Genomic DNA, 12,721 nt, shown 5'->3' on the forward strand with positions numbered 1-12,721 from the left:
AGAGATTGGGTACGGTGGTTCACACCTGTAATCCCAACACTTTGGTAGGCTGAGGCAGGAGGATTGCTTGAGGCCAGGAGTTCGAGACCAGCCTGGGCAACATAGAGAGATGCTGTATCTCCAAAAAATAAAACAATTAGCCTGGTGGCGCACTACTGTAGTCCCCGCCACTCAGGAGGCTGAAGTAGGAGGAATTGCTTGAGCCCAGGAGTTCGAGGCTGCAGTGAGCTATGATAGTGCCACTGAACTCCCATCAGAGTGAGAGAGCAAGACTGTCTCTTAAAAAAAAAAAATGAAGAGAGTAAAACATTATGCCAAGTTACTAACCAGATACTTGCTAAAAGGTAAATGATAGATTTAAAAATATAAAAAGTCTTTGACTCTTAGTATCCCATGGAAGCACAAAAATTCACAGTGGTTTGTAGATGGTGATAATAATTTTTTTTTCTTGGCATCTCTAAGAATATATTACCTACCATAAAGATTGTATACTGTCAGGAAATAAAACATTTTAAAATAATATTCAAAAAAACCTAGTCTCATGAGAGGCAAAAGTTTTCAAGTATTAACTACAAAAAGTTCAGTTGGAAATTTCCCCGTCTTCCGAGAGGTGTCATGAGCTGAGTCAGCTCCTAGCTGTGACCTTCATGTGACCTCATACATCACCTTCACCTCTCTCAGAAAATCTATGTCTTCATTCTTAAAGATAAGGACAATAACCTGCTTTGCATTGAGGAAGAAGTCAATTAAAAGATGAGATTACCTGTGTGTAAGCATTTTGTACAGAGGAAGCACTTTTTTTCTTCCTCTCATTATCATCATTGCCTTGACTCATTTCCTGTTGTGCCCGGAAGGCGGGGGCACCTGTGAAATTAGAATGCAGCAGGGCAGGGGGTTTTCATTGGCTCAGTTCCCGCTGGTGCTGCTAGGTAACTTTGCTCATATCCTGTCTGGAAGGACAGACAAGGGTCAGACTGGATGCAGGCTGGGACACCATCAGCTTCTCACAGTTGCTTTTTCTCTCCCCATCATGGGTCTGGCCTGCTCTTAGAACTGAGTCATCGCTGATTATTCTCCCAAACACAGGAAAATCCAGGATACCCTAGCGTACCCACTTTTAGGTGCTGACACATTGCAAGCCTCACACTTCATCCATGGTTTTAAGGATCACCTTGAACCATGGAAACGTGAGGGAAGCGAGAGGAAAGAGGCGGTGGGCGGCTCTGGCAGCAGGTGTTTTCATCAGGGGAGACCAGTTCTTCTGGGCCGCATCCCCATCACCCTTCAGACTGATGAGCTCTAAAGAAGGGATTTGCTCTACAGTGTGTCAGTTAAATGTAGTAATCATTTTTCTTCGAAGGAAAAAGAGGCAGGAAGAAGCACGTGCTCACTCACCAGCATTACAGCTTTTGCTCCCTGATCACAACAATAGATTTGGGCTGATTTCCTATTTTCAGGCAATCAGTGATGGGAGGAGAGGGAGCCATTAGCAGGTGCCCTAGTTGACCTTCAGCTAAATTATCGTCCCTTTCCCCTCCTGCCTTTCTTTCAATACAAGGAGAAGGGGAAGGGGGGGAGAGTAGCTCTCCATTTAAAAAAAAAAAAGGAAAAGGAAAGGAAACAGGTGCGTGGTCAGAGCTATCTAGCAAAGGGATTTAATTGATGGTGACAACAGCATTCTTAATCTGACAGCTGTTTTGGTTGTTTCATCCCTTTGTGTCATCGAATAGGAAAATAACTTATTAGAGCTATTCATGTCAGAGATAGTCAATAAATATCAGTTGGACTGTAAGTATATGGGATATTGCTTGAAAAAAATGAGGGTTTTTTGTTTTTTTAACTTTTTTTAAAATCTGTAATGTTAAAGGCAAAGGTGCAGTCTAGTCAGCTTTGGCATCCCAACACAGTTCCTGGAAGTAGTTTTTCCAAATAAAGCACTGCAACCAAATGACAATCAGCAGATTTCAAATACATATTTTTTGACTCTTGCTCTGTCAGAGATGGCCTATCCAAAGAGAAGATGGAGATCAGAAATATTGAAAGCTCAGTTCAATGTCATCCCAAATAAATATCTCTCAGGCTGTGCAAATTAGTTACCAGTAAGTACAGTTTGAAACGTGGATAGAAGTACATTACTTTCCAACAATTGGTATTGAAAATAAAGCTACTGACAAATAGAGCCATTTATGGAGATTGGATGTTCTCTTGTTATAACTTTTGGTGCATTTTATATCACTTGGGGAAGACTTAGAAGTGTTTTTCAGTCGTGCTGTGTAAGACGAATTCTTCCTAATAGCCTACCTCATTGTTATTACACGTGAGTTCAGCATGAGTAGTCAAGGAGGTAATATCACTGCTAATGGCACTCAGTGCTAATGGGTATTGGGGTAGCTTAGGTTAACATAAAAAGCAGTTAGGTAAAGTGTGGGGCAGGCCACAATTAATCTCAAGTAGAACCCAAATAAAGACGAAGACCATAAACATCAATAATTCTCTAGTAGTTCAAAGGAAGAAAAGTTGAGAATTCTTTTTTTGTTAAATAGTTTTAACTGCAATATGGAAAATCCCCATATCATTAAGTTCTTGATGTCAATTGACCTATAATAAGTCCTGATGCTCATTACACATAATGATCATCTCTGTGAACTTTCTAAATTTACTGCTAAAAGTTGAAATCAAGCTATAGATTAAAAGACGATCAATATTCTATAGGTTTTCATTAATGCATTTTATAAAGACAACATCTTTTGTTTTCATAAAATGTTCGATACATATACATTTTATATATAGTATATATAAATTTATATATGCTCAAATTACAAAGCAGAATTATAAAAAAAAAATGAACCCATTACTCCACTTAAGAAGCAGAACATTACCCACACTGTTGCGATTTTCTGAGAGTTCCCTCTCCATTCTTATCCCTCTGCCCCAGCTAATTGCTATATCCTGTTGTTGTTGGTTTGTATGTTTTTAAAAAAATTTCCATCCACTTTGTCATTCATTTTTTCATTACCTTTATGGTTTCCCATGCACCTATGTATGTGTCGCTAAACAATATACTGTTTGGCTTTATACTTTATAAAATATGTAATACTGTGTATATTCTTTTGTTACTTATTTTTTAACTTAGTTGTTATTTTATCCAAGTTTCACAAACACATAAAGTAGCTAATAGCATCCCGTCTTGACATAAAAAACATCAGTTTCTACCCAACACTCACCACAATTTTCTGCTCCCTGGAGGCAATTGCATTCAACTTTCTCAACGGATTTTTTAAAATGCTTACCTAAATATCTTTACATTGTATGCCTATTTTGTTACTAATTGGTTTTTTTCAGATTTAGAAAATACCTATTTTCTTCTGTCTTTGGAATATGAGAATTTCACTCTTCATACATTTCCCACCTTCCCCCTCCTCTCAGCAGGGTTAGATCATATTTTGGGTAGATCATTAGCTGGAGTTTACATAATTATGACCATATGAACACTATTCACAGCCTAGCCATGTGGTACAACATGATACTACAATTACTTTTTTTTCTGTGCAATGTTGGGCTTTCCCTAAAATTAACAATTAACTTTTGTTTGATTCATTTATTTTTCTATATGACCATCATGAATTTAATTCCCAAATGTCCCCCAATTGTGTAAATCTCCTTTCACAATGTTCAAGCCTATTAAGTAGTCTATTATCTTTACCATGTTGAAGAAATCTTCTGACCTGTTCCAATCGGGATGGCTGTATTAGTCTGTTTTCTTGCTGCTAATAAAGACACACCCAAAACTGGGTCATCTATAAAGGAAAAGAGGCTTAATAGGCTCACAGTTCCACGTGGCTGGGGAGGCCTCACAATCATGACAGAAGGTGAAAGGTACGTCTTACATGGCGGCAGTCAAGAGAGAATGAGAGCTAAGTGAAAGGGGTTTCCCTTTATAAAACCACCAGCTCTTGTGAGACCAATTTACTACCACGAGAACAGTATGGGGGAAACTGCTCCCATGATTCAGTTGCCTCCCATGGGGTCCCGTTCAAAACACATGGAAATTATGGGAGCTACAATTCAAGATGAGATTTGCATGGTGACACAGCCAAACCCTATCAATGGTCAACAGCTGTCATTAAAATCTCCCTTCACAGTCACTCTAGGGACTCCCTTTGTGTTTTTGCTGCATTGGATATCCTGTTTCCTGGGTTCCAGGTTTTTCTTTCTCTTGTTTTACAACCTCGTCTTTCTGAAACACATGTGCCAGTAGCTTTGTAGGAAAGGATGATAGATGATTAAATTTTTGATATGTGAATGTCTAAATGTGACTTTATTGGCTGGTTGTAGGATTGTAGGTCGAAAATTCTTTCCCTTGGGAATTTAGAAAACATCTACTTCCAGTCTTGCTATTGAAAAGTCCAATATTTCTGTGTTTTGATTCTCTGTATGAAATTGTATTTTCTTCTCTGTAAGTTTGTAGATCTTTGTTGCAGATGATCTGAAATTTCTGACAATGTGCCATTCAAAAAGGGGCTATTTTCACCCATACCACTGGGTATTTGGTGAGCCTTTCAACCTGGAAAATCATGTTGTTCAGTTCTGAAGAATTTTCCTTCCACTATTTCATAAATATTTTTCTTCGGTTTGGTTTCTCTGATCTGCTTACGTTGGGCCTCCTAGTATAATTCCTGCATTTTCTTAGTATTTTTCTTTCCTAATTTCCATCCCTTTGTCATTTTTTTTCTATTTTCTGGGAGACTTTTTCAACTTAATCTTCTTATCCTTCAACTGAGCTTTTCATTTGTGCCATAAAAGCCTTTACTTTTTCCAAGAGCTCCTTCTTTTCTTGGAGTATTTGTTTGTTATAGCATCCTGTTTTTATTTAACAGATGCAGCTCTACATGCTTCTAAAGATATTATATTTTTTAAGTTTTTTTCTAGCATATTCTCTGCATGTTCTAAGTTGTTTCATTTTTCTTTTTGTTGTGTTGATCATTGTCTTTCACACATAATGCTTTCCTCAAAGCCTAAATATCTTTTTCTGTCTGCTCATCTTTGAAAGTGGTGTGCTAAATAGAATTCCAGTTAAAATTCTAGTTGAATGTGTTATAAATATATTTCTCAAATTTATGGTTTGTCTTTTTCCTTTCTTTATTCTGTCATTCCATGAACAGACTTTCTTAATTTTAATATAGCATTTTTTTCCTTTAGGTTTTTTGCCTTTCACTTCCTGTTTAACAAATCTCTCTTGATCTTCTGATCATAAAGATGTTTTCCTGTATGGTCTTTTAAAAGTCTCATACTAATAGTTGTGATTCTTTAATTCACCTGCAATTAAATATTGTATATGGTGAGAGATAAGCATCCAATTTCATCCTTTTCTCATACGGATAACCAGCTGCCCCTGCACCGTTTACTGAAAAGTCCATTTTTCCTCTACTGGTTTCAGTGGCAAAAATGTCATAACTCAAGTTTGTAGTTGTGTCTATTTCTGGGATATCTATTCTATTTCATCGTTCTAATTGACAATTTCTGTATCACCTTTATATACTTGTATAAGACTTGATATTTAATAAGGACAGGTTTCCCCCACCTTATTCCTCACCTAGAATAGCATTCTGAAAACAAAGGGGAGAAAAATCTCCTAATGTGAAAGAAATGATGAGCTTAACTTCATTCATTCATTAAGAATGTATTAAGTACCTACCATATTTCAGACAAGGTCTAAGAATTGAAAAATCAATAAGAAAAAATCCCTGCCCCAAAGGAATAAACAACCTAGGAGGGAAGGCTGATAAAGAATTACACTTTAATTCTATTATGAGCAAGAATAAAGGATACATAAGAAACTGCACAGAGAGAATGGAAATAATTATGCCCAGGGATCATTAGGAAAGTCTTTCCAGTAAGTAGTAGTTTCCACTTGGTCTGAAGACATAAATTGGCATTTTATAGGAGAGAAAGGGAAAGGAATTCCAGGCAGGGGAAGCTCCATGGAGGTATGAAAGTGCATGATCTGTTTCCTAACAAAGGATCACACAAAGGAGATCAGGTTAGAAAGGAAGTTATGGCCAGACAGGGGTGGGCCTTTTCTGCCCCGCTGAGATGTTTGAACTTTATACTGAAGACAGAAGTAGACACAGAGGATTTGCAGTCAAAAGGCAATGGCACTCTTGTCCTGTATTTGATGATGTAAAAGCAGAGATAAGCAGGGCCTGGGGAGGGCACTGTGTATAGGAAGCCCAGTTTGGAGGCTGCTGCATTCTCCATGGGAGAGATGCTGAGGTCTGAGCTTACGCAGGAGTCAAGAGAATGGAGAGACGTAAAAACAGGTCAGAAGACATTAAAAGGGAAATAGAACAGGGCATGGTGAGAGTTGTTGTTAGATGTAAGGGAATGGCTAGAGTAAATGACAATAGTTACCAGCTTGAGTAACTACGCGGATGGGGACATGACTCACTGACCTTTGGAAGCGACAGGTGCTGTGCAGAAGGAATACCACAAGGTGTTTGGCAGAGACAAGGGACAATCCATGACTTCCAGTTTGATCAAGGCATGTGAATGGAGAGACAGGTAGGCAGTTGGAGGCATAGGTTTAGAGCTGAAGAGTTATCCACCACCCAAACCTAAATCTCCAGTGCCCTCTCATTAGGTCATTTGGAATAACCTGGATCCTCAAATATGCTAAACTCTTTGTCCACATCCCACAGCTGTTAAGGACAGATTTTCCAGATGAATGTACTCCGGGTTTTAGAGTATTCACGCTTTGTGCATTTTCAGCTTTAAGACATATATAGGACAATACCTTACTCTGCTTTTCATGGGGAGGCTGGGGGGAAAGGGTGGACCAGCTCAATGAAGTTCTAGGGACTTAGTAATGAAAGAGGTGCTACTGTGGAGAGTTGAGTATCAATTCCTCGACATTAGAGTCTCCTCCACAGTGACAAGAAGAGAGGTGGCATTTACATGTGTACCTAGCCTTTCATCTCCTACAGATGCTTTGCCAGCATGCTTTAGAGGACCTTTGGGGGCCCTGAACTCATCATGGAGAGAATGATGTTGGGACGAGAAAAAGCACTTGGAGTGCATGAAGGCAAAGGGGTTTGTTTAGTTAAATCCTGGGCTATTAATAAAGGTTTCTATTGATCGCCATTATGCACTGAATTTTAAAAGGGCCTAGCCTGATCTGGGATGAACTGCATCCCCTTCCCCAAATGCCCATTTTGAAGTAGCCCCCGGTACTTAGCATGTAATCTTACTAGGAAATAGGTTGTTGCAGATGCAGTTACTTAAGGTGAGGTCATATGAGGAAGTAGGATGGGCATCTAATCCAATATAGCTGGTGTCATTATAAAAAGGGGAAATTTGGACACAGCCAGGAAGGCAGGGAAAATGCCTGTGAGCACAGGCAGAGATGGGGTAATGCATACACCAGCCAAGAGATGCCAAAGGTTGCGAGCCAACCACAGGGAGCTTAGGAGAGAAGCATGGAACAGATTATCCCTCACATCCCTCAGCAGAAATCTGCCTTGCCAACACCTCCATTTCAGACTTGAGACAATAGCTGTCTGTTATTTAAGCCACCCAATTTATGGTATTTTGTTAGGGGAGCCCTAGCAAACCAATATTTAGCCTATATCCTAAAGAAGGAGGAGGGGAATGGTGAGGTTATTATTATCCATTCATAAGAGCAGAAATGACAACTTTCTAACAGAATAAAATTAATCATTCTTAGATTATCCACTTTATAGCCTTCTGATTCCTAAAATTGTAATTGCCATATGTAGTAATAGAAATGGAGTGAAAAAAAGGTCTGATGGAAACATGTTCTTTCCATGAGTGATGTACATTACACTGATGGATGGTTGATGGATATATTTGAGAGAATGAGGCCCTGTTCTAGTAAAACAGACTCAGACCTGCATATAATCTAAACATATTGGTGCCAATGGCCCAATACATAAAGCTTCTGCTTTGACATTAAACTGATGCATGTGTTTAAAAGGTACTAAAGGCAAATGTTCAAAAATAATCTTAGACCGGTTTTCTATTCATAAAGAGGAGGAACCCGTATATTTTGCCCCTGCATAGCTACAATCAGAATTGAATGTGAAATACCAACCATACTGGAAGGTGAAATTGACAATGAAATAACTATTCTCTGTTCTCAAGGTTCATGGGAGGGAATTGAAAGATCACAAGTTTTGGAGTCAGATGGAGCTGGGTTCTGTTCCACTTGTACTACCTTCTACTTATGTGACCTTAATAAAGTCATTTAACCTTCTCAGATTCTGTTTGATTACCTGGAAAATGGGGAGGATTATAGCTCCCTCAGAGAACTGGTCTGAGGATTAAATGAGATAATATTGGTAAAGTGACCAGCAATATGCATGGTAATATACTCAATAATAATGTTCAATAAATGGTAGCTGCAAATTTCATATTTGTCTCAATTAGTATTGGATGCAATTCTTCTGCATTCGGGCACAAATCACTTTGGCAGTTCTGGACTAGGAGATCCACTTACTGGTATCTAAATGGGGATGACCATGGTGAAGCCTAGAAGAGTCACTGAATTGCTACTAACATGTCCCTTTTTCTTTTCTTCCTTCTTGTCTTAACTGCAGTATATATCTAGATTGTGAACTGAAGCCCAAGAGTACAGCATACACTTGGGTTTGATTCAGCCTCTGTTAAAGTTCATCCAAGTGAATCTTCAGTCAAAAAAACTTCTTATTCTGAAGGACAAATTAAAATAAACTAGACCCTGTTCAAGAAAAGGTGATTCAGAGATAAAGTTTTGGAGAATGGGGACTGCACAGCAGGGTCTCCTTAGCTTGAAGGCAGTCTTTCTTTCACTCACCTGAATGTAAGCCATGCCTTTAAACTTGATTCCAATCAGTGTAGTCTCTGTGTGTGGTCTCTGAAAAAGGTGGGCTGTGAAAACTGGAAATACAAAGCAGGCAAAAGGTTTGAAGGAGAAAAGCATGTCTCTCCTGATCATCTCCAGTACATCCCTGGGCAGCCTTTTTCTGCAAGGAAAATAGTTATGCTCCATTCTGATTTTCAGTCAGCAGACTGGAAATTATGCCAGGTAGTTTGGGGTTTAAAATAACAATTTCATGGGGAAGGAACTAGCCAACCAACTCATTTGATGTCAAGGCACCATTTATTGTAGGCCTGTGCAGTGAAGCTTCTGATACAAGTGCCCTCTTGCCATCGGGCAGCTCCAGTTCTCAAATGCCCCTTTGGTGTTTGAACTCTGTCAATTCAGTGTTGCCATGTGTTCTCCTGTAAAGAGGTTAATACTTTCTCATTTGAATCTAGTGAAATACTCCAGGTAACATCCATCCATCCCCTTCTGCCGACCCTCTCTACCCGCCATGTCCCCTGCTGTAACTGCCCATTAATCAGCCCTGAGCTTGCCAATAGGAAAACGCATCCACGGGGCTGTGAACTCAATGGAATTAGAACAAATTAGCCTGTGACATGCAGGGACAGGCTCAGGTTGAGGGACAAGCCTGGAATGCAAAATCAGGTGGACAGAACACCCTTTAGCAGAAGGGGCTACAGCAGAGCTGTGAATGTAAAGCATCCATTTGTCTTGTACAGAGACAAAATGAAATCAGAGCTGCTTAATGAATTAAATAAAATACAACTAGGATAGCTTTTACATTTAGCACTGCAAAACCAGCGGAACTTAGACAACTGAAGAGCTAGACGGGACCTTACACATATTTTATCTACGTTACTTACTTTATAGATGAATAAACTGGAGTCTGCCCTGGGAGAGTTACCACGTATAAGGTCACACCCCACTCTCCTCCTTCCCAACTAAGGAAATTGATCCAGGTTATCAATATAGGAAAGAGTTCATTCCAAGCACAGCATGTCTAGATTCTAATGTTGCCTTGTAAGCAAGTTATCCGTCTACTTGCCCAGTGACAGAGGCCCTCCTTGCCACAGGAGGTACAGACTTAACAGAGCAGGTCAGGGCCCTGTCTCAGTTTCTCCCTGTCCTCCTCTGTAACAGGGCACTTACAGTACGTGAAGAGCCAGGAAGTTCTTTCCTCCCCTACGGAGGGACTTCGGGTTCTGTCCTCATCTGCTAGAATCTGGGTTATACAACATCCCCAGCACCTAACACATCGTGAAGGGGCACATTTTAGACTCCCAGAAAACCAGCTGGTTGTCGTTTCTCTCATGTAATAACACGTGGTGGGCTGAAATGGCCAGAAAGAAAGGTAGGACCTAATGACTAACAGTCAGGCGAGGCAGTGGACGCACTCTGCTGATGAGCAGCTTACAGGCGACACTGTGATCCTTCTTTCCTGGGGGCCTTCAAAAAGGCCACCATCATGGCCGGGCGCAGTGGCTTATGCCTATAATCCCAGCACTTTGGGAGGCCGAGGTGGGCGGATCACTTGAGGCCAGGAGTTCAAGACCAACCTGGTCAACAAGGCAAAACCTCGTCTTTACTAAAAATACAAAAATTAGCCAAGCATGGTGGTGCACACCTGTAATCCCAGTTACTCGGGAGGCTGAGGCAGAAGAATTGCTTGAACCCGGGAGGCAGAGGCTGCAGTGAGCCGAGATTGTGCCACTGCACTTCAGCCTGGGCAACAGAGCAAGACTCCGTCTCACCAAAACAAAACAAAACAGAACAAAACAAACAAACAAAAAAGCCAGTATCACTAACACGTATTTGTCTTGATTATTAAAGCTCTATCTGGAGTTGGAGAGTGGAATGGATGGATGATACTATTAAGTTCCTGAGAAACTTGAGACTAAATTTCTTTTATGTTAAAGAGAGAGGTTATTAGGGGTGCAGTGACCTCCTGAGGGCCTCCGCAGCTGGAAAAGAAGGCACAAGGTCAGGCCCCTGGGGCTAGTGGACCGCAATGCCAGCTCTGTGTCTCCCTGCCACCCCTCTTTACCTGGCATTTCCAGCTGCCACTTTCAGATTTCTCAGAGGTTGGGGTAACCATTCTTAAATACATTTACTTGGAGTACAAAATCAAGAACATCCTCATCTGTCCTTAGGACCCTCTCTCCTCTGTCACCACGCGATTGGTGGGTAGCCCTGTTTCTGGACCTCTGCTTATTTCCCTCTGTGATGTAGAATCACTTATTTACATGCTTGTCTCCTAGGAGACAGGAAAGCCTTTGAGGATAGAAATGATATGATAATAGTTCACCGATCGCACCCGTTACTTATTATAGACTGCTGCACTTTGTGTAATTTTACTTCCTCTTAAAAAAGGAATTCAGTTCTACTATGTGCAGGATTTGAATGGAATTTTAAAATCTACCTTTATTATATTTAAAATCTACTCTTAGATTTTAAATATTTGTTAGAATAAAACCCTGCTGTTTAACACTGCCCAAAATTACACAGAAGTATTTGGCAGGTGGTTTGTGACATTTATTACCAGAAGAGCCTTACTGTGACAACTTAACTCTTTCATACGGGTAGCAACAACTTCTAGCAGTCACCAGGATGGTGAAGGAACTAGGGACTCTCTTATATGTCCATATGTGGGCTGAAGCTTTGAGGATCAACATCCTACCTACCACCTGGCCACACTGCAGCTTGCAGCGTGGAAAACTATTCCAGCTGGCAGCTTGCTGGGCACAGGAGTTGTTGCCACTGGCTCTCACGTGCATGGCCAAGTGGGTGAGAGACTCCATAGAGTTTGCGCCCCAGGCAGGCCCATAACTTGTCTCACGCTAGTCTCAGCCCTGATCCTATGTTAATTTTGCGCCCTCTATTCTCATCTTTTGCAGTCTCACCCTCATTGCAACATCTAGCGCAGTAGTCAACATCGCCTGGGGACTTGTTATAAATGCAGATTCTCAGGCCTCAGCTCAGACTTGCTGAATCAGAAATTCTGACGGTGGAGCCCAGCTATCTGTATTTCCCTCTGGGTGGTTTTGATGCAAGCTTGAGTTTCAAAGCCACAGGTCTAGAGATGAGGGAGGTGGGTATTAATTGTTGATACAGGTTGGGGCCTGGCATGATGGCTCCTGCCTGTCATTCCAGTGCTTTGGGAGGCTGAGAACCAAGGATGGCTTGAGGCCAGGAGTCTGAGGTTACAGTGAGCTATGATAGCGCCACTGCAATTCAACCTGGGCGACAGAGCAAAACCCTGTCTCTAAAAAAAAAGAAAGAAAATAAAAAGCAGCCTGTCCAGTTTTCTGACTGTGAATCTTCTGATTGCCTCTCACCTCATCGAGTAGTCCCCAAAGTGCAGCCTGAGAACAGCTGGTACCTCCCACCCGCTGTCTGGCTCAGGTTTCTGGAATATGGTAACCCCCATCACCGCCAGTGTCAGAGCCCTAAGCTCCCAGTTGTCCAGGAGAGAGGTCCAGATATGTAAAGAATATGAAAAAAACTGAAGTTTAGTCTAAGAAAGGAGAAGATTAAGGACATGATACATGACATCGGATATTTTAAGGACCATTATGTAGAAACTTAGAATTTTTCTGTATTTATACGTTAGAAGCAGGACCAAAAGATAGAAGTTACAGGAGCTCAGATTTACACCAAAGAATAAGGAAAATCATCCTGACAATCACAGGTCCGTACATAGAATGCACGGCCTATAGGGATCATGGGTTCCCTCACTGCTCTTGCTCAGGCAAGGGGATAGGATTCTTGTCAAGGATATGGTAGAGGAACTTCACCATAAGACCAGGGTTACCTTAGATTACCCCAAGATTTCTTTTGACA

The 12,721-nt window shown here is 40.8% G+C and overlaps 1 annotated feature.

Annotated features, from left to right (window-relative positions):
• Window positions 450-1,649: an enhancer, noted in NCBI's record as "P300/CBP strongly-dependent group 1 enhancer chr6:148467567-148468766 (GRCh37/hg19 assembly coordinates)". NCBI's record gives its function as "activates an origin of replication core promoter dependent on BRD2, BRD4, P300/CBP, MED14 and CDK7 cofactors, with strong dependence on P300/CBP, by STARR-seq in HCT116 cells {active_cell/tissue: HCT116}" and the evidence as "EXISTENCE:reporter gene assay evidence [ECO:0000049][PMID:35650434]".

Source organism: Homo sapiens, chromosome 6 (genome assembly GCF_000001405.40).
Source record: "Homo sapiens chromosome 6, GRCh38.p14 Primary Assembly".
NCBI lineage: Eukaryota > Metazoa > Chordata > Mammalia > Primates > Hominidae > Homo > Homo sapiens.